The 20,901-nt window shown below is 40.2% G+C and overlaps 1 protein-coding gene and 1 long non-coding RNA gene across 43 annotated transcripts in view, besides 4 other annotated features; one reads left to right on the top strand and one right to left on the bottom strand.

The window, feature by feature from the left end:
- ATOSA (atos homolog A) overlaps positions 1–20,901 on the top strand; it is a 128,495-nt gene that overhangs the window by 14,713 nt on the left and 92,881 nt on the right. For 7 of the 38 annotated variants that reach the window (NR_169543.1, NR_169542.1, NR_169549.1 and 4 more), the window contains exons 1-2: positions 16,346–16,673; positions 16,981–17,097. Coding sequence is in view for 17 of the 38 variants with exons in the window: in XM_047432858.1 (XP_047288814.1) it covers positions 17,082–17,097 (16 nt within the window). In the remaining 21 variants the exon portion in view is untranslated. Of the gene's footprint in view, positions 1–3,276; positions 3,394–15,388; positions 15,680–15,714; positions 16,276–16,345; positions 16,793–16,980; positions 17,098–20,901 lie in introns of those variants that run through there. The other 31 variants (NR_169536.1, NR_169544.1, NR_169541.1 and 28 more) reach the window with 11 other exon arrangements.
- LOC105370821 (uncharacterized) lies at positions 5,021–15,498 on the bottom strand. 5 transcript variants are annotated; one of them, XR_932254.4, is made up of 5 exons: positions 15,410–15,498; positions 9,760–10,321; positions 6,680–6,853; positions 6,079–6,190; positions 5,021–5,741 (listed from the first exon to the last, which is right to left on the bottom strand). It is a non-coding gene; the product is annotated as an uncharacterized LOC105370821 (long non-coding RNA). The 5 variants fall into 5 exon arrangements; XR_932252.4 differs by having other exon boundaries at positions 6,079–6,853; XR_932255.4 differs by lacking the exon at positions 6,680–6,853.
- Positions 7,341–7,841: an enhancer, noted in NCBI's record as "H3K4me1 hESC enhancer chr15:52979459-52979959 (GRCh37/hg19 assembly coordinates)". NCBI's record gives its function as "activates a minimal SCP1, AML or CMV promoter by ChIP-STARR-seq in primed H9 embryonic stem cells {active_cell/tissue: H9 hESC(primed)}" and the evidence as "EXISTENCE:reporter gene assay evidence [ECO:0000049][PMID:30033119]".
- Positions 15,780–16,099: a silencer, noted in NCBI's record as "silent region_6450". NCBI's record gives its function as "represses an Ori minimal core promoter by ATAC-STARR-seq in GM12878 lymphoblastoid cells {active_cell/tissue: GM12878}" and the evidence as "EXISTENCE:reporter gene assay evidence [ECO:0000049][PMID:35858748]".
- Positions 16,680–16,819: an enhancer, noted in NCBI's record as "active region_9436". NCBI's record gives its function as "activates an Ori minimal core promoter by ATAC-STARR-seq in GM12878 lymphoblastoid cells {active_cell/tissue: GM12878}" and the evidence as "EXISTENCE:reporter gene assay evidence [ECO:0000049][PMID:35858748]".
- Positions 16,950–17,019: an enhancer, noted in NCBI's record as "active region_9435". NCBI's record gives its function as "activates an Ori minimal core promoter by ATAC-STARR-seq in GM12878 lymphoblastoid cells {active_cell/tissue: GM12878}" and the evidence as "EXISTENCE:reporter gene assay evidence [ECO:0000049][PMID:35858748]".

Raw genomic sequence — 20,901 nt, 5'->3', positions numbered from 1 at the left:
AAACACAAAAATTAGCCAGGCATGGTGATGCACGCCTGTAATCCCAGCTTCTTGGGAGGCCGAGGCATGATAATTGCCTGAACCCAGGAGGTGGAGGTTGCAGTGAGCCGGGATCACACCACTACACTCCAGCCTGGGCAACAGGATAAGACCCTGTCTCAAAAAAACAAAACAAAAAAAAACAGAAAAAAAAAAAAAGAATAATGGGGGAAAGTATGGTGATTGTCCCTGGAAATCAGTAAGACAAAACATATTTTAAATTTAAATTTTAAAAGGTATAATAGATTTTTTTAGTACTCTGGCAGCAGTGCTGTTGTAAAACAGTGGGATTCTATGTATATCACAAACATTGTATTTTGGCATTGTGTGTATTTTGTATTTTCTAGCTTATCTGATAATAGGGCGTGAGGTCAAATTTTCATGAGTATTTTTTTTTAATTAAAAAAATAGAGGCGGGGTCTTGCTATATTCGGACTCCTGGGCTCAAGCAATTCTCTCACCTCAGCCTCCCAAAGTGGCGGGATTATAGTTGTGAGCCACCACACCCAGCAAATTTTCAGGAATTCTTGAGTCTCAAAGTAGAAATGGTAATTATTTGCTTTAATTCTGAGCAATCATATATTAAAATATACTCAGCAGGCCGGGTGCGGTGGCTCATGCCTGTAATCCCAGCACTTTGGAGGCCAAGGAAAGCGGATCACCTGAGGTCAGGAGTTCGAGACCAGCCTGTTCAACATGGAGAAACCCTGTCTCTACTAAAAATGCAGAATTAGCCAGATGTGGTAGTGCATGCCTGTAATCCCAGCTACTTGGGAGGCTGAGGCAGGAGAATCATTTGAACCCATGAGGAGGAGGTTGCGGTGAGCTGAGATCGTGCCATTGCACTCCAGTCTGGGCAACAAGAGCAAAACTTCATCTCAAAAAAAAAAAAAAATATATATATATCTATATATACACACACACACGCACACACACACATACTCAGCTGAGGGATTAAGTGGGTCATATAAAAAGATTCACATGAAAAGTTACAAAATTCTATTTTGTATATTTGGAGGATATGTATAAAAATGCAAAGTAGTCATACCATATGGTGCACTTAACCCATTAATTTAGAGAACTTGAACAAAAGAGAAGAGAGAGTGAGGTATGAGAGAGAACAATTTAAGTAGTGCAGACACGCATATCTGCCATTCCACTCAACTATTGTCTTCTACATAAGTATGAGAGGCAAGGCTAGAAGAGGTTTTTCTATTAAGTTGGTATTAGTTTTTATGTGTCTCTCTTAGAGTAAGCATTTCACTGTGCCAAGTGTAATTCTAGTATTCCACATAAACTTTTGGAATTAATTTGTTAAACTCCATTAGAAAATATTTTGGAAATCTTGACTGAGATTGCATTGACTTTATGGATTGAGGAAGGACCGACAATATCTGTCTTCCAATTTATTTAGATCTTCTTTTATGTCATTTTTCACAGGTCTTTAATTTTTTTAATTAGATTTATTTCTAAGTGATAGTATGGTTTTGTTTTTGTGAATGGACCTCTATCCCTTAACATTTTCTACCCAGTGTTGATATACTAGAAGCTATTAATTTTTAAAATGTTGATCATATATCCAACCACAGTACTAAATTCTATTAGTTCTGCTAACTTAACTATATTCTCTGAAATCATTTTTTTGAGATGGAGTCTCGCTCTCTCACCCAGGCTGGAGTGAAGGAGCGTGATCTTGGCTCACTGCAACCTCTGCCTCCTGGGTTCAACTGGTTCTCCTACCTTAGCCTCCCAAGTAGCTGAGATTACAGGTATGCACCACCATGCCTAGCTAATTTTTGTACTTTTAGTAGAGACAGGGTTTCTCCATGTTGGCCAGGCTGGTCTCAAACTCCTGACCTCAAGTGATCCACCCGCCTTGGCCTCCCAAAATGCTGAGATTACAGGCATGAGCCACCGCACCTGGCCCGAAATAGTTTTGTTTCAATCTTTCCGTTTGTATGTCTCTTTTCCTGTTTTAGCATATTGACTAAAACTTAAAGTGGCAAAAGATATTCTTGTTCTTGACTTTCAAGGAATGCTTGCTTTGAAGCTTTCAACTGTTAGGTGTGATGCTTACTATAAGGTTTGGTAAATGCTCTGTAAGAGAGTTTTGTGCCAGGCGTGGTGGCTCATGTTTGTAATCCCAAGGTTTTGGGAGGCCAAGGCATAAGGATCACTTCAGGCCAGGAGTTTGAGGCCAGCCTGGTCAACAGAGTAAGACTCCATCTCAAAAAAAAAAGGCCCTGTGCTATAGCTGACGCCTGTAGTCCCACCTACTCAGGAGGCAGAGACAGGAGGATTGCTTGAGTCCAGGGGTTCCAGACTGCAGTGAGCCTGATTAAGCCACTGCACTCCAGCCTAGTCAACAGAGTGAGACCCCATCTCTAAGAAGAAAAAGAGGTAGTTTTCAGGCTGGGTGCAGTGGCTCATGCCTGTAATCCCAGCACTTTGGGAGGCCAAAGCAGGACGATGGCTTGAGCTCAGGAGTTTGAGATCAGCCTGGGCAATATGGTGAAACCCTGTCTCTACAAAAAATACAATTAGCTGGGTGTAGTTGTGCATACCTAAAATCTCAGTTACTCAGGAGGCTGAGGTGTGAGGGTTGCCTGAGCCTGGGAAGCAGAGGTTGCAGTAAGCAGGGATCACGCCACTGCACTCCAGCCTGGGTGATGGAGCAAAACCCTGTGTCAAAAGTTTTCCTCTTTTCTTAGCTCTCAAAGACATTTTACTAGGAATGAATATTAAATTTTGTCAAGTGTAGATTTTGGCATAAAACAATCATTTGCTTTCTATTTTCTTTATTCAGATAGTATGGCAATTTGTGTTAATACATTTTATAATGTTGAAGCAGTCCTATATTCCTAGGATAAAGTCTTGGTCATGATGTAATATTCCTTTAACACACTTCTGGATTCTGCGCTAATATTTGGAATTTTTGTTTCTCTGTTTATAGCTGAGATTTATTTCTTATGTTTTTGGGGGGATGGAGGACTACTTTTCATTTTGGTTTATTAGGATTATGTTGATCTAAAATGAAATGGGAAACTTTGTGTCCTTTTCCTTTGCTCTGGTCAGCTTATTTAAGGAAAAAAAAAGGCATGATCTGTTCTTTGATGGTTTAGTAGAACTTTCTCAAACTCTTCTGGGCCTGGTATCTCTTTTTGGAGTGGATCTTTGACTCGTTTTTCAATTTCTTTTTCTTTTTCTTATTTATTTATTTATTTATTTTTGACACAGGTCTTGCTCTGTCTCCCAGGCTGGAATACAGTGGTGTGATTAAGTCTCACTGCAGCCTTGACCCCCCGGGCTCAAGTGATCCTCCCACCTCAGCCTCCTGAGTAGCTGGGACTACAGGTATGCACCACCATGCCTGGCTAATTTTTGAACTTTCTGTAGAGATGGAGTCTCACTATGTTGTCCAGGCTGGTCTTGAAACCCTGGGCTCAAGCTACTCTCCCACCTCAGCCTCCCAAATCTTTTCAGTTTCTTAGATGATGATCAATCTATTTGGGTTCTCTACCTATTCTTGGTTCTGTTTAATAGTTTATAGTTTCCTTAAGGCCATCTATTCATTCTAGTTTTCAAATTTGAATGTATAAAATTACATATAAACCTGATAATTAAAAGTTACCTGCTGTAGCCACAGTTATATTATCTTTCTAATTTCTAATGTTGTTTGTGTTCCCAGAGAGTTGCAGATATTTAAACTGCAACCTATTTAGTTGAAGACAAGAAGAGAATTTCCACAGCAGTACTATAGCAACCAATGAGACTAAGTCTTGTAAAGCAATTAGAAGTTCAGGTGTTTAGGGATTTGAGTATCTTGGAAAGAAAGCCTGTAAAAGTTTGAATGATAAAATATAAGAGCATTTTTAGTCTCTTAATGCTCCACTAAAATAATAACTAAAGAGTCCTAGATGGATAAGCAGAGATTGACTAGGAAAAAAAAAAATCCCTAGAAACTCTAAAGCACTTAACAGGGTTCCCTCAACTCTCCACTCCCCCTGGGCCATCTTATCTCTACTGGGAAAGACATTCATTCTTAATTTTAGTTGGTCTAAGAAATATAACATTAAAATCCTTTGCCTGACTATTGAGTTACCAGCAGGATCATCACAGAATGCATCAATGTCAATTCCTTGACATTTCAATTTCACCAAGCATCAGATTCTATCTTCTCCATTTTTCTTCATCTAGTTTAATGAATCACCTGTATCTTTATTTTCAGTCTGTTATCTTGAGCAATCCATGCCATTAATTTTCAGTTTATCTTTTACTCAGGATGAGGAAAAATGGCCAGCCTTTTTATTTCCAGGATTCACTTCATTTACAGGTGGCACATTACCACTGTTGCAAAATGCTAGCATATAAATGTCATCATTTTATTCTCTTCTTCTGTTGGATTCTGCAAGTGTCATCTTGTTACAGTACTATACTTCTGGCTCTACTTAGGGGCCATGTTCTACTTAACAGTTTATGGTTTTGTTAACCTTCTTTCTGTTGTTCACTTTGTTTCAGATGTACTAAAATTTAGAAAGCTCTGAACTAAGCTGTACTTTGATATAAATATCCTTAGATTAAAATGTTAACACATGGGTTTTAATGTTACATCCTTATTCATGTAATATATTCGGAAACCATGAATATTTAAAACGAAAGCAAACAAATGTAGATCACATGCTTCTGACATACATTCAGGTTTCTCCGTATGTATTAAGACCCAAGGAGTCTAAATACTCCAGGCTAGACCATAGCACAATCTAGGCTGGAGTCATGTCAATCTTGTTCACTACTAAATTCCTAATGCTAGTACATGTCTGGCACATAGTAGGTTATCAGTACATATTATTGATTGAATAAGTAACTGACATATGTATAGGGAATCTAATTCAATAACACATTAACTTCTTCACTCATGATTTGAAAGTGATGTAAAATTGTATTAGATATTTTCAAGTTTCAAGTATCAGAAATGTTCAGGTTGCCTTTGTTACAAACTTGTTTATTGGAAAGATTCATTCATGGAGCCTTAAAAAGAACACAAAAAAATCTTAACAGGTATACAGTCAAGTTTCACAGAAAAATGGACCATCATTGCCATCATTTAGGACTGGCAGTACCTCCAGCAGCCTAACTATAGCTTTTGGCTTAGGAGCACTTGGTATTCTTTCAGAACTGTCTGTTGTTCCTTTCTCCATTGCCCATTGTTAGGGAGGCTTCTGTGTCTGCTCCAGCTGCTACTAACTCTGCATGTCTGATGCACATCACTACCTTCCCATCAGCACCATCACAAAGAATACGATTGGCCAATCACTAAACATTAGAATGTACTTCTGTTGGGCTCAGTTCTCTAGCACTGAGCAACTTTGTAGGCCACTTGCCAGCCTATAGAGGGTTGCCTTCAGGTCAGGTATTGATTGCTGGTTCAGCCACTTGTGACCAGGGGAGTTAGGGTCACATGGCCAAAAGGGAGCCACAAATGAGGCAGGTACACTGAAGCACCTTTCATGGCCTAGTGCTACCTTACTATTAAAGGCAATTACCAGGGACTGTCTTGTGTCGATAGCTAATCATCCAAATAGCTATACTGATTTTATTTCATATTCATGTTTCCATGTCTTCATAACATCTTTGCTATGTGGATTTCATTGGCTAGACAAGACATCAATACCCAGTCATGTTGCCAAGAATCATGGTACATCCTGATGAAGAGACAGAAATGAGCCATAATTTACTGAGAGGAAAATGTCATGTATATAGCACACTGCAAAGAAATTCAATACATGTATATTTATGAATAAGAGCTAGGAACATTTTTTAGTTTTTCATATGTGGCTGCCTATAAATCAAACATTTCTGAAGTATATTACTCTCAGAAAAACAATTTCTGCAAAATCTCTGCATGTTGGATTTTGCTGGCACACACCGAGATCATGGATAATGTTTTTTGGGGGGAATATAGTACAAACGATGTTGAATTCCCAAAATATGTGCCTGGGATAAAGCTACTAACTATTCTCAGAATTATACCATACTGACCTGGTATGAAGTAAGGATTTGATTCAAAGCAATGGCACTGTGAATTTCCCAACTGTGGGTTATTTTCTGAATACACAGTGAGTTCAGTTGGGCCCAGGCTACCTTCCTCCATCTGTAAAAATAGTTTCAAAGTTATTCCTTCTCTTTTGGGTGACATGATTGCCAGATCAAAAAGATATTTCTCAGTCCTTGTCTTATTCGACTTTTCCACAACAGCCAACATAGCTAAACACCCTGTCCTTCCTGATAGCCCATGACACCAATATCTTCATCTACTCCCATGGAGCAGCCACCATTTACAGGCTGATGGCTTCTCAGTACTATACCTTCAGATAAAACCTCATCCTGAAGTCCCAGAGCAGAATCTTTTTCTGTCTTCAGAATGTCTGTCTAGATGCTATGGTTTTTCAAATGTAATATGTCTGAAACTAAGTACTTTTTCTCCTTTTCTCCCCAACCCCCATCCCTCAGTGGCCAATCTGATCTTTCTCTTGTATTTCCTATCTTAAAGTACACGGTGACCTGCCAACTATTCTGAGGAGGATGGATGATTGACCTCTTTCCCTACAGCCAGTCACCACCAGAGTTCTATCACTTCTACCTCCTAAAACTCTCTCCAGTCCATCTTCTCTGCTCCATCCTGATGCCATTGCTTTAGTTCACATTTGCATGATCTTGAGGTTGGATCATTGGAATAGCTTCTTTGCTACCACATCCCCCACCATTCTCTTCCCATCTCCATCTTCTGTTGTTGAAGCAATCTTTCTGAAACAATCTATTTATTATAACCTTTTGTCATTTTCTGTCATCTACAAGAAATTCCAAATTCACTACTATAGCTACTTTGGTTTGCCATTGCTAGAACAATGATGCATAACAAACCATTCCAGAAATTAGCAGCTTTAAACAATAACTTAATCTTATGAATCTACGGGTCAGCTGTGATGGTTCTGCTAATCAAAATTGGGTTGATGTGTGAATCAGTTCCAGTCCCTTCCACATGTCTCTCATCCTCCTGGGAACAGCAGGTTAGCCTAGGCATCTGCTTTTCATGGTAATGGCAGAGACAACAACAGAGGAAATAGGCAAGATTTCTTAAGATTTAGCTCAGAGCTAGCATGCTGTCCCTTCAGCCTCATTCTCTTCATTAGGGCAATTCATGTAGCAAAACAAAAAGCTGGGACATATACTCTGACCTATTAATGGGAGGGACTGCAGTTACCTGCCAAAGGCATGGATGTGGGGAGGAATGAAGACTGGGGCTAACGGCAAAAAACAAAAACAAACAAAAAAAAACCTCTCTCTAATGCTGTACCTATTGCTTATGTTTAACCTCCTTGAAACTGACCTTCCAAAATGGCATCTTGATATGTTCTAACATGCCTCAGTGACATGCTGTTTCATCTGTGAAGAATAGCTTCCACCATCCTACCCCACTTTGCCTGTCTAACCTCAGTCTTTATTCTCCAAAATATAGCTAATATGTTCTTTTCTTTCCTTAGCAGGCCCCTCTCCTAGAGAGAATTAACTTTTCCTTCTTTGTGCCACGTGTTTTCCTTATGCACGAATATTTTTGCTGTTATCAAACCAAATTGCAATTTATTTATTTATTTATTTTTTGAGACGGAGTCTCGCTCTGTCGCCCAGGCTGGAGTGCAGTGGCTGGATCTCGGCTCGCTGCATGCTCCGCCTCCCGGGCTCACGCCATTTTCCTGCCTCAGCCTCCGGAGTAGGTGGGACTACACGCGCCCGCCAACACGACCGGAGAATTTTTTGTATTTGTAGTGGAGATGGGGTTTCACCATGTTAGCCAGGATGGTCTCGATCTCCTGACCTCGTGACCCACCCACCTCAGCCTCCCAAGGTGCTGGGATTACAGGCGTGAGCCACCGCGCCCGGCCGCAATTATTTATTAACATGACTGTCTCCCTTCTAGATTGATAGAGCTTTTTGGGGTAAACATTTGCTTTTCTAGTCTCTGTATCTCTAGGGCCCAGCAAAGTATTTGGCATACAAAGTTCAATGAATGCAGAATTGAATTAAACTTATATTATACAGAAATGACATTTTAGAAATAAAGACCAATTATTTTGAGTTGCAGGTAAAGAATTTGCCTGTGCAAGTTGAAATAAGAAGGCTAATGTTCTCTTTTCTCTGAAGCATGGCAGCATGAAATTATTCAGAGCCAGGCACAGTAGAGCATGCCTTTAACCATGGCTACTAGGGAGGCTGAGGTAGGAGGACCGCTTGAGCTCCCAGGAGTTAGAGACCAGTCTGGAAAACATTGCAAGACCCCATCTGAAAATGCAAAAGGAAAACTGAGATATATACAGTCAGCAAATAAAGGAATAGCTCCTAGAATTCTCTATGCCTAATTGAGCTTTGGGGTTCTGATAGAAGCAGCAGAAACTGGATTTATCAAAAAGGTACTACAAGTTGTTTTATCATGCTCTATCTACTACATGTGAAGAATTTAGTCTCAATTATGAGTTTTCCCATTTGTGAAAAGGGGTTAGGGAATTTCTGTAGTTTTTATGCATTCTTACAAACCTTTTTCTTTCTTAAATTGAGACAGTAACCTTAGAAAAGATTTCTCTTACAAATCTTTTTGAAGGGTAGAACTCTGTTCAAAAATGCTTTTCTGAAATACCCGATCAGTTTATATTGCACATTTTGAAATGGAGATCACTGCTGCTGTTTATATCTACTTTTCAAGTCCAATGTATGAAATCTTTTTAACCATGAAAAGTATTATTGTGGAATTCTCATTAGGATGCAATGAACTGATATACTCTGATGAAAAGATGTAAAGGATCAGTAACTTCATTTATAATAAACAGTATCTCTACCAGCTCATGAAGAGTGAAGCTGCTTAGAGTGAAGTCTACCCATCACTGCTTCTAAAAATAGCTCACACTGTTTGGGTAGGTAGTTCTGTGTGTGACCCTCTAATAAGTATGAAGAGAAAATTAATTTATATGAAAACTCTACTGAACCTAAAGTGGGTGCTGTGGCTCACTTGTGTAATCCCAGGGGGAGGCTGAGGTGGGAAGATCACTTGAGTGAGTCCAGGAGTTTGAGACCAGCCTGGACAACATAGCGAGAACTCCTCTGCCCTACCCTGGCAAATAAGTTAAAAAATTAGCGGGGCATGGTGGTGATGGTGATGGGCGGCTGTAGGCCTACCTACTCCAGAGGCTGAGGCAGAAGGATAATTTGCCCACAGGAGTCCAAGGTTACAATGAGCTAAGATACTCCACTACACTCCAGCCTGGGTGACAGAGTGAGACCCTGTCTCTAAAAAACAAATGCCTGTAATCCCAGCACTTTGCGAGGCCGAGGCCAGGCAGATCACTTGAGCCCAGCAGTTCAAGACCAGCCTGGGCAACATGGCAAAACTCCTTCTCAACAAAATACATAAAAATTAGCTGGGTGTGGTGGCATGTACTTTCAGTCCCAGCTACTCAGGAGGCTGAAGCAGGAGGATCATTTAAGCCTGGAAGGCAGAGGTTGCAGCAAGCCAAGATCACACCACTGCACTCCAGCCTAGGCAACAGAGCAAGACCCTGTTTTAGAAAAACAAAACAAAACAAAACAAAAAAAAAAAACTCTACTGAATCTAGCCTGTTTTCAGAAGGGTTGTTCACCATTGTTCCTACTATATCTAGGCTGTGCCCTTACCATTTTGTGATGCATTCAAGTCTCATTAGGGTGCACTGAACCCTTGATAAGATGAGGACAATTAAATGCCACATGACACATTTTAAAACAAAAAAAGAAAAGATTAGGGCAAGCAGCAAGTTTCCTAAGCACAGAATTTGCACCGCTAAAAGGCATCACTTGGTTGAGGAACATGACTGATTTTCAAATGTCTTCTGAAGTGCTGGGTAAGCCACTGAATCCTACAGCAAATAGAAATATTATGTAAGCTACATATATAACTTTAAATTTTCTATTAGCCACATTTTGAAAAATTAAAAATAAACCCAACATATCTAAAGTACTACCATTTCAACATGTGATCAATATTTTTAAAGTATCAATAGAGATATTGTACATTTTTTCCCACTGTCTTTGAAATCTGCTGTATATTTTATACTTACATTTCAATTTGTAGGTTCAATTCTCATTAGAAATACCTGATGTGGAGCTAGGCATGGTGGCTCATGCCTGTAATCCCAACACTTTGGGGGGCCAAGGCAGGAGGGTTGCTTGAGTTAGGATCACACCACTGTACTCCAGCCTGAGAAACAGAACAAGACTCTGTCTCTTTAAAGAACTTTAAAAATTTGAAAAAAAGAAAGAAAGAAAGAAAACCTGATCTGTATTTAGATTTCCTAAAATCGGCAGTTAAAAAATTAGATTCACTTCTTGGCCTTTTGGCTAAGATCAAGTGTAAAAAAAATTAGATTCATATAGTCAGTTGTTCCAAACATACTTAGTTTTAAAAATGAGTTCAGTTATCAAAAATTTATTTGTTTGTCTTTAGTAACAGGATCTTGCAGTGTTGCCTAGGTTGGAGTACAGTGGCACAATCATAGCTCACTGCATTCTTGAACTCCTGGGCTCAAGTGATCCTCCTGCTTCAGCCTCCTAAGTAACTAGGACTACAGGTTCATGCCATCGTGCCTGGCTAACTTTTTAACTTTTTTATAGAGACAGTGGTCTCCCTATGTTGCCCGGGATGGTCTCGAATTCCTGACCTCAAGCAAGCCTCCCACCTGGGCCTCCTAAAGTGCCAGAATTAGAGCCATGAGCTACCATGCCCAGCTGAAAATTTATATTTAAATTGATTAAAATTAACAATTCAGTTTCTCAGTTTCACTAGTCACATTTCAAGCACTCAATAACCACAGATGACTATAGCTACTGTATTGGCCAGAGCAGTTCTAGAGAATAGTGACAGCCTTGGATCTTCAATAATCACTTGAATCTTTGTGCCTAGGATAGTGCTATTCAATAAGGAAAGACAAAAGAATTGGAAGTCAGTCCATCTGCCCTTAAAAGATAAAAGGAATATGTGGTTTTAAGATCATAAATATGTGTTCAGAAAAAAGACAGAGATGGTGTGTATGAGTGTATGGGTTCTAAAAGACATTTTGAGGTGAAACTTTGGGCTTTCAAAGTCCAGAAGGGTTTCCATAGTAGTTGGGGAGGGATCTCATGTAGGGCAGAAGCCCAGTGTCAGGAAGATACAGGGTTTGGGTGGAAAATGAAACTAAGAGACCAGTAACAGATAGTGGGTAAGAACGTATGCTCTCAAGTCATGCTCACTAGGTGTGAATCCTGACTCTGCTACTGCCTAACTGCTTAAACTTGGGCAAATTATTTAACTTCCCCTTTTCTGTGTATTTGGTAGGGATAATACTATTTCATAGGGATGTTGTATTAAATGGACTAATAAATATATAAATCATTCAGAATAGTGCTTATGACTTAAGTGCTGAAGAAATTTCAGCTGCTATTATCTGAGCATGACCATTTGCTCTTTGGGGTGTGCATATAACACATCAACCAGAGCTGTTTGATTTAGAGCTTATATCTTAAAGCACTAAGCCTAAGTGTATATCAACCAATTTAAATTCTAAATGCAGAACCACTTCTCAACATTTCTGAGCCATAGTTTCCCCACTTGAAAATTTTGAAATTATTTAACTTATTTCAGAATATTGTAGTGGAAATTAAATGAGTCCATTCAGGAAGCGGCTGCCTTCTACTTATTAAATATAGCTTTGGGAAAGTTACTTGTTTCTCTGAGCCTCAATTTCCTAATCTGAGAAATAGTTATCACCCTCTTTGGATCAAATATATATGTAAAATGCTGAGCACAGTTACTGTCACAAAAAACGGCCATTATTATTCTTTAAAAAGACATTAAGTCTTGGTGGGTCGGAGACCTCCAGCAGCTCAGCAAAATTGTCAGGTTAATTAAAGGTTTATCCACCTTGAAGTTTAGAGGCCCTTGTATTTCTAAGCCCTAAGACACTTACGCAGACTGGGACCAGAAAGAATACATTTTTACTTCCTTATACCTGTGGTTTTAGAGGGTAGACAAACAGGAACCTCAAAAAAGAATAAACCAGACAACCAACTTATGTGAAGGTAGAAGGTTGTTTACAGAAGCCAATGCCTTAGCAATGACTCCATGATCTTTCTCTCTTAGAAATTAACTGTACTGAATTTAAGTGGATAATCAGAAACAATTTAGATATGGAAAAGATAGCTTGCATTTCATCTTGTTTCAACAAGTACTAAAAGTACATTTTTCTTTTTAACTTTGCAAGAACAGATTTATTTATACATTTTAATTCTACTCATCTTTATTTCTACAATATTTCATGGCAAATAAGATGTACTGATTACCATCTTTAAAATAATGTATCTTCATTTGACTCTCAACCACTTATTCATGATTATCCTCTAGCTATGGGTCATAGAGTTGTTCTTTTAAGATACTAGAGATATCTTAACATTTTTCACTCATTTACTGTTAACTTCTACAGAATTAAAGATCTTCATGTTTGAGTAACCATTCAGAACCTCCATTCTTTTTCTTAGTCACATGGCCATCTTCCCTGTGTGTCTTCTACCTTCAAACCTCTCCTTCTTATCAGGACATTAGTCACTGGATTTGGAATCTACCCTAATAATCCACCTCATCTTAACTTCATTACTGTACATATCTAAGTTCACATTCACAGATGGGGGATGGGAGTAGGACTGCAACACAATTTTTTTTTTTTTGAGGGGAGAACACATTTCAACCCACAATGGGTTCCTACTATTATGAGACAACATATAATATATACATTGCCCCAAAAGTATAATGAAAATGTGTCATTTACAAATGAAATTTGTGCTACCCACCAATTTCTCAACTCTACCTTTATCCCACTAGGGAGAAAATGCCAGCCAGTATTAGACATGCAGACTACAGGCATGCACAAGAAAAGCATATTAGAGAATACATAGGTTAATATTTATTGAGCTCCTACTTTATATCCAGTTCTTTACTAAGTGCTAGGGATACAAGAAAGAAGAAGGTACCAATCCCTGCTCTGGTGGAGCTCATCCTGGTAGCCTGGACTGGTTCCATGACTTTGGTCATCGTAACAGCCTTGTATTCATAAAGTGAGCAAACCAGTTATCCTCATCACCTTAATAAGTAAAAGAACTTAGAGACAGTCATTACAGATTGATCATACACCACCCATTTCAACAAAATCTGTAAAAGTTGAGGGGATGAAGATGAGTTGCTGAAGATGAGTTAACTTTTTTTTGAAGTTAATTACTCATATACGGCTTTGAAACCCTAGGGGAAAGCAAAATGGAAAGCAAATCAGATGAAAAGAGGGTAAGGTTCCTGCCAGCTATCTTGATTCCCTTGCTTACCCTTACCCTTCACCAACTAGGAACTAGAAACATTTGTTCTGTTTATGTGCTCTGAGGTGTGAACAGAGCACCTTAGAGTGAATTGCCATTTCAAGTCATTATTTCCAAACGCTCTGAACATGTGTTACATAATCATAGGATAAAAGAAAGCGATAACTATTGTCAGAGTCTAAACACCTCACTTTTATAGGTGAAACAAAGGTGTTAGAATGTGACTTGATTAGGGCCATGTAACTGTAATAGTACTATAAGCTCCTTGAAAGTAGTGACCCTATCTGGTTTTGGTGACCTTTACATTCTCAGAGACTTGTATGAGCCTAGCAGGTAGTATTCAGTAAATGCATATTATGGAATGAAACAATTTGAATAATGAGTCAGAAATACACCTTTTAAATACTTTTTCTGCTGCCATAATGATTTCAAATTTTTGAACAGGTTTAAGATTCTAAATTTAAAAAAACTTCAGGTTAGTCTAACAAATGTTGACATCATCATTTACCCAAGTGCTGTTAAAAATTATTTAAAAGAGAATAGTTTGTGCTACACACTAATAGTCTTGGCTTCTGCTCTCAACATTTCCTGGTCTTTTTACCTCTTTTGCATTAGATAGAGGAAGAAAGAAGCTAAACCAGATTTTGCTGCCTGTTCACCCAGTAAGCCTTTTACAATAGCTGTTATTTGGTCCCAGCTGTTGTGCTAAATTTAGGTTTTTGGCTTATCTGTAACTGTTCTGTCTCCCATTACCAAGTGCTTGTAGAACAAGTAAAACTTCAGTTCATTTTTTAAAAACTACATAATACAGTATTCAATAATATCAAAGTCAAATCCACTGGGATTTAACATTTGTAGCATTTTATAGATTAAAGAACTGTTTCCATTTGTCAGTTTCATCGTCATGATGCCAGAACATTTCAGAGAAAATGAAATGTTACCCTCCTGAATGTTCTCTCCGCTCTGATTAGATACAATCGTGGAGTTAAGGTTAACAATTTCAGTTGTACATGTTATTTTACTGTACATATCTAAGCACTAGAAAATGTTACTTTTTAAATATTTCATGCCTTTTTCATAAGAACTTTACCTGAGGCCAAAAAAATGGAACTGCCAATCTTGCAGTTTATAAAACTCTTCTGATGTGAAAATAATAGACTCATTGTAAAAAAAATTTTAAAACAGAAGGGCACAAATAAAAAAAATCCCCTTAGACTTGTCCTAATACTTTCCTGTGATCCTTTTATGCAAAATTATATCTAAAAAAAAAACTTTTTCTAATGAAACCAAAGAGCCTTGCAAATTTTTACTTGTCTCCATTTGGGCTCATGCCCCATATGTACTTTGTCTATAGACTGAGTAGCTAATAGCTGCAGCGCTTGTTAGGATTGGGTTTTTTTTTAAGTACAGCAGATTCCTGTCATCTGTTTGTGTTTAAATGACGACAACATCACAACATGAAATGCCATCATGTCACATTGCTATAGCACAACAACAAAATTACAGCTCCCCAACAATAACATGCTGTCAAAGTGTCCTCCTGCCCATGAGTCAGTGTTTTAGAAGTTATGAAGATTATTTTTAGCACAGCGAGTGTCTTGGAAGCTTGGGTTCTGAATCCTACTAAAATCCTTAGTGATTTGGGAAAATCTAGGGTGGGGGTGGGCTTCCTGTTCTTAAATTCTCCCACTCCCTGACCCGCATAGCTGCCCACCCCCCGTCCCGGTCACATTAAACCCGGGTTCCATTATGCGCTGCAATCCACTTGGGGCTCGATCACAACTCTGTGCCAGCATCCCGGGAGGAGGAGGAGGAGGAGGAGGAGGGGGGGAAGGAGGGGGAGGGGGGAGGAGGAGGAGGAGGAGGAGGAGGAGGAGGAGGAGGAGACGACGACTATAATTATCCTCCACGTCTGGGGCAGGCCTTTGGATGACATCTCCCCAGTTACCCTGCGCTCTAATAGCGCAGCTCCGATTCCTGGTCTCAGAATCCAGGCGCGCCTCTGCCGGCTGGGAGCGCAACCGAAGTGCCTGGGACGTCTCGGGCTTCCGGGACTCTGCTGGTGTCTCCCAGCCGCCATCTCCAGCGCCCTCGCACCCGCCGGGCACCTGCACCGAAAACCCGGCCCCAAACTAGCGCCCCGGGGCGAGCGGCGGCATTGCCATAGTAACCGGGCGCCAGGGCCGCGGAGGCCGCCGGGGAGGAAGTGACGACCGGGGTGGGTTGGCTGTTGTTGGGACACGTGACCTAGGCAGTGTTTTGACAGGGCAAACAGCAGAGAAAGAACTGGCCGAGCGAGGGGGACGGGGAGCCGGGGCGCCAGAGCTAGAGACAGCGGGCGGGCAAGGAGCTGGCAGAGGCGCTGGGCAAGAGGGCCGGCCGGGGCTACGGGCGGGGGAAGCCCGGGGGTCGCGGGGCTCGGGTGCCAGTCAGGCAGGGCGGAGGGGCTGAGCGCAGGGAGCGGAGCGAGGCGGTGGCTGAGGCGCGGGTGGATGGCCACAGGGGCGCCGGGGAGCCGCTTCGGGCTGGTCGTCTCGGGTCCCCACGGTCACCTGAGGCAGCCGCGGGGGCCGCTGCGCTCCATACTCCGCTCCCGCTGGCCCTGCGCCTCTCGGAGCCTGGGGTCTGAGGTGGGAGTGTGATGTGAGCTGCTGGGCGAGCGGTGGAGAGAAGTGCCAAGAGGAGGCGGGATTGGGACGGGAGAGGAGAGCGAGTTAGTCAGCAGAGGTCGGCCGAGGGAGCGGAGGAGCCGGCCAGCTCGAGAGCGCCATGAAAACAACTCTCCAGCGGGGAGAGGGGCAGACGCGGCGCTCGGTGCGGCGGGGCTGAAGGAAATCCGGGGCCGCGGCGGGACGGAAGGGGTTGTGCAGAGCAGGGGGCGAGCACAGGCTGTAAACACCTCCCCCGGAGCCGGCCGCGGAGGACTGGTTGGGAGTTGGTAGGGTCGCCCCGGGACAGCCCGGAAGAGTTCGTTTGGGGCTGGGGGCTGGGCGGGAGGAGGTGACTCGGGTTTCTGTGTAAACTTGGCCGCGGTTGCCGCAGGAAGGCTAGCCAGAGGGTAATTACACAGGTGAGGCCCGGCGGGGCGGGCGGAGGGCTCGGGAGGCGCAGGGGACTGGAAGAGTTGGCTGCGCCCAGGCACCAGGTGGAAGAATTTCCATACCAGCCCTGCGGAGGTGCCTCTGTTTCCAGAGGCGTTTTTGTACGAAGGGGTTAGTTTGTGTTGCTCAAATCTTTTTCTTCTTCTTGCCTGTACCTCCAGGTTATAAATAGATCCTGTTTTGGTTCAGAGACTGTGTCAGAAGGACACATTGGCCTGGAGAGCACAGAGGCAGGGAAGGGGGTGCTCGATCCGGAGGAGATGGGGGAGGCGGTGCAGAGAGTTTTGCTTTTTTCAGACCAGCCGAGGGTGCTGTCACCGCAGTTGGTGCCAGGAAGAGGCCTAACTTAACAGTAGTTTACTTGCAAGGTCCGGGTATTAGAATAGGGCCAGATTAATTTTATTTTTGTCTCTTTCAGCATTTTGAAAGCGAAGCAGAAGCCGTAGAATCAGCGGCGAGCCTGTTGAAAGAACCCACAGGTGCATTTCACAGCACTCTGGGCGAAAATTGGATGTGAAAATGAAGCCAGACCGAGGTAAATGATTTGTTTAAGTAGGGCTTGTTCCCCCACCCCCTTCTTTTCTATGCCTCAATTTAGAAGTGTTAACCTAATTCTGCAGTAGGATCAACTATTTCTGTATCATATGTGATTATCTGTTTTTGTGACAGATTCCAGCTGGTGAGGTAGAGAAAGGCATATGGAAGAGAAGGTTAAGCGTTTTTACAAAAGTGCTTCTGAAGCACTAGCTTCAAGAGAGATTCTAGTGTATCTCAAAATGAAAGTAAAGAATGGTATTTGTATCTGTTGCCACAATACAGGTATCATTTTAGAGTTGTACTTGCTCGTTTTTAGGTAGTCAATCTAACTTCAACTTTCAAGAAGTTCATAAGCTTTTTAAACTTGAATGTGAACTTGATAAAATGAAGAGAAAACTTAAGCTTGAGTTGACAACTGTTATTTTATTACTACTTTGATTAGTTGATTTTTGTGCTTTAAGCAAACTCCAAAAGTTTGCAGAGTACTCCAGTATTCAATATACCAGCATATGGACAGTTTGGGCCACTGAAATCCCTGGTGATAAGTAAATGTCACTTCTTTTCTAAACCTGTATTTTCAGGATTTATAAGAATAATATATACACTGCTTTTCAAGGACTTCAAGGTAATTCTTTATCAGTCTTCTGATTAATGGCAAGAACCAATTTTAGAAGATGTTAATATAGTAGTGGTTAGTAGTGAGAGCTTTTCAGTCAGATATGAGTTTGATTCCAAGGAACATTGTGAAGTGGGGATTATTTTATTTGGTAGGGGGCTGGACTAGATGACAGATTTCCTTCCAAATCCAAGTCTTTAGGATTGGAAATGTTAATTTATCCTACGAATTAGATGCTTATTTTAAAATTTATATATATTAAACTGGTTGTTTTTCCATATATTTTTTCAAAGTGATTAGACAAATTTTCTGGGTAAAATAGGTCTATTGAAATGCACCAGAAGGAATTGGAGAAAACCATACTTAATTTAGTGATTTAAATTAGTTTTAGGTGTTGGCTATTACATACAATCAGGCAGCAGCTATGTATGTATCAAGTATTAGTAAGTGTATTGCTCCTGAGCAGGTTCCTTGTGTAGAATGCCAAGTTTAGATTTTTAGATTACATCAATCACTTTGGAAAAATGGCACCAAGGTTAGTAATTGATTCTCAGAATAAACAAGCAAATAAAATCAAAGTCACTATTTATTTTGAATTGTTGTGAAAAGTTGCTTTACAGTCATAAGCAGTTTTAAAAATAGTATTTGCAGCCAAAACTAGTGTTAAACACAATAAAATGTTTAGTTACGTACTGATATAGATTTTTAGGGGAAACAAATTTATTCATCAAGATTTCCAAAGAAGTTTTCACCTTAAAAATTGTAGCTTTCTTTAGCATTCTCAGGTAAAGATGATGGGATTGTGAGTTTAGTATTGTGATTATATTCCATAATAATAACATAAACCTTTAGACCCATGGCTTTTTTTTTCTTTTACTAAAACCAGTGTAAGTAATCTTTTACTTAGCAAACTAGTACAGAAATATTGAAATAAGCTTTTCACAAACGTACTTACCCTTACTGTGCGCAATGTAATGTTGTATTTTCTATTCTATTTCACGTTTTGAAAAATTGCTGTCACCACCCATTGAATTGATTTCTTCACCAATTAATGGGTCATGATGACCTGCAATTTGAAAGGCAGAGTTATGGACAACTCTTAACGAGAAAACAGTTACACTTCATTTTTTTTTTTAAACTACATTGGTGTCCAAAGAACTATCCTATATAAATGAATTTTCTGGATAATTGAAACTTTTTAAACGTCAAAATATTTTTAGTTGTAATCATGATATGTGGAGACATTTAAAAAATGTTCACGCTTCTGGTTTGAGATTTTTTTGTCTCTAGTTTAAACCATCTCAGCCTATCTTTTTTTATTCTGATTTTTATGTTCCCTGGCTGTCAACAGTTTTTGTTGTTAATATATTTATCCTTGTCACCTTTTAATTTTCCTGCTTTTAGTCTCTGAGCTAGATAATTAGATAACCGTACTTAACACTAAGTTTTCTCTCTTTTTTTTTCTTTTTCTTTTTTTTTTTTGAGACGGAGTCTCGCTCTGTCGCCCAGGCTGGAGTGCAGTGGCGCAATCTCCGCTCACTGCAAGCTCCGCCTCCCGGGTTCACGCCATTCTCCTGCCTCAGCCTTCGGTAGCTGGGATTACAGGCGCCCGCCTCCACGCCCGGCTAATTTTTTGTATTTTTAGTAGAGACAGGGTTTCACCGTGTAAGCCAGGATAGTCTCGATCTCCTGAGCTCGTGATCCGCCCGCCTCGGCCTCCCAGTGTGCTGGGATTACAGGCGTGAGCCACCGCGCCCGGCCTAACACTAAGTTTTCTATAAGATGAACATAAATAGGAGAACTTCTCAGATGCTCATTCAGAGTGTGAGTAAAGTGTGGATTTTAATGTAGAGACTCAGATTATAGTTTTGTGAAAGACAGCTGTGCTTCAAAGAGTTAAAGTTTCTAAATAAATACAATAGCCTCTTATCGTACATGATTGGGTGTGGTAGTTGGTTGGCTAACTGTAAAAGTTTAAGGTGGGGGTCAGGAAAAATGCCTTAATTCTTTTTCTATTGGCTGTTTTTATGGAAGGTGTGGGGAGCATTGGTCAATTCTGCTCCCTACAGCCTCCATAAAAACAAACTGATAGCCAATAGAAAAAAATTATCTGAAGGTCAGGAGTTTCTACTGTACTTTGAAATAAGATGTTATGGTATAGCATGATAGATTTCACAATAGTCGATAGTATTTTACTGTACGATAGTATTTTACTGTACTGTAAAAAAAATTAATTTTAAGCAATAATATAACATTACTTGGGTAACACTGCCAAAGATGAGTCTTAGATGTTGTCATTAGCAGACCTGTGTTTTTATACTTGTTCCATTACTTGCTTGCTCTCTAATCTTCATCACATAATCTCTGAGAGTCTCAGTTTCCTTGTCTGTAAAATGGGAATAATTCCAACTTCTCACAGTTAGAATGAAATATGACCGTGCTTGGCACATAGCAGATATTAAATAAATAATATCGTTTATTATGTTAAATAAACATTACAAATGCTTATATATTGGTTATATAAGCTTATATATAAGCATTACAAATGCTTATATACTGGTTATATAAGCTTATATATAAGCATTACAAATGCTTATATATTGGTCAATTACAAGATATACTCAACAAAGGTAAATAAATAATGAAATGTTTAATAACCTAATGCTATTTTGTTCTGTTTTGCATTGATAGTGTTCAAACTGCTAAGGCTCGAGCAGATTAATAATTTTTTAATATATAGTTATCTGAGAAAATATAAAAGCTACAGAAGGATACTTGCAGTATATGTATAATGTATTTATATTGTCATTTGCTATTACAATTATGGCTTCTATATGTAGAGGATGACATGGGTGGACTAAGCTTTCTGGAATAATTAGATTTTTAAGTGATGTTAACAGCTGACTAGAGCTGGGCAGCTGGAAAATTTAATGTTATTCCACCTTTGACTCAAGGATGTACAAGTTTGGACCTGGTTCTAGACCTGTGTGTATATTGAATACCTGGTGTTTCAAGAGAAGTCTAAGGTGTGGTCCACGGCCTGTTGCGGTGGCTCATGCCTGTGATCCCAGCACTTTGGGAGCCCGAGGAGGGTTGATTGCTTAGAGCTTAGAAGTTCGAGACCACCCTGGGCAACATAACAAGACCCTATCTCTATTTAAAAATAAATAAAATGTGGTCTTAGTG

This window comes from Homo sapiens, chromosome 15, assembly GCF_000001405.40.
Source record: "Homo sapiens chromosome 15, GRCh38.p14 Primary Assembly".
Taxonomy (NCBI): Eukaryota; Metazoa; Chordata; class Mammalia; order Primates; family Hominidae; genus Homo; species Homo sapiens.
This window is presented reverse-complemented; position numbering and strand designations above follow the sequence as displayed.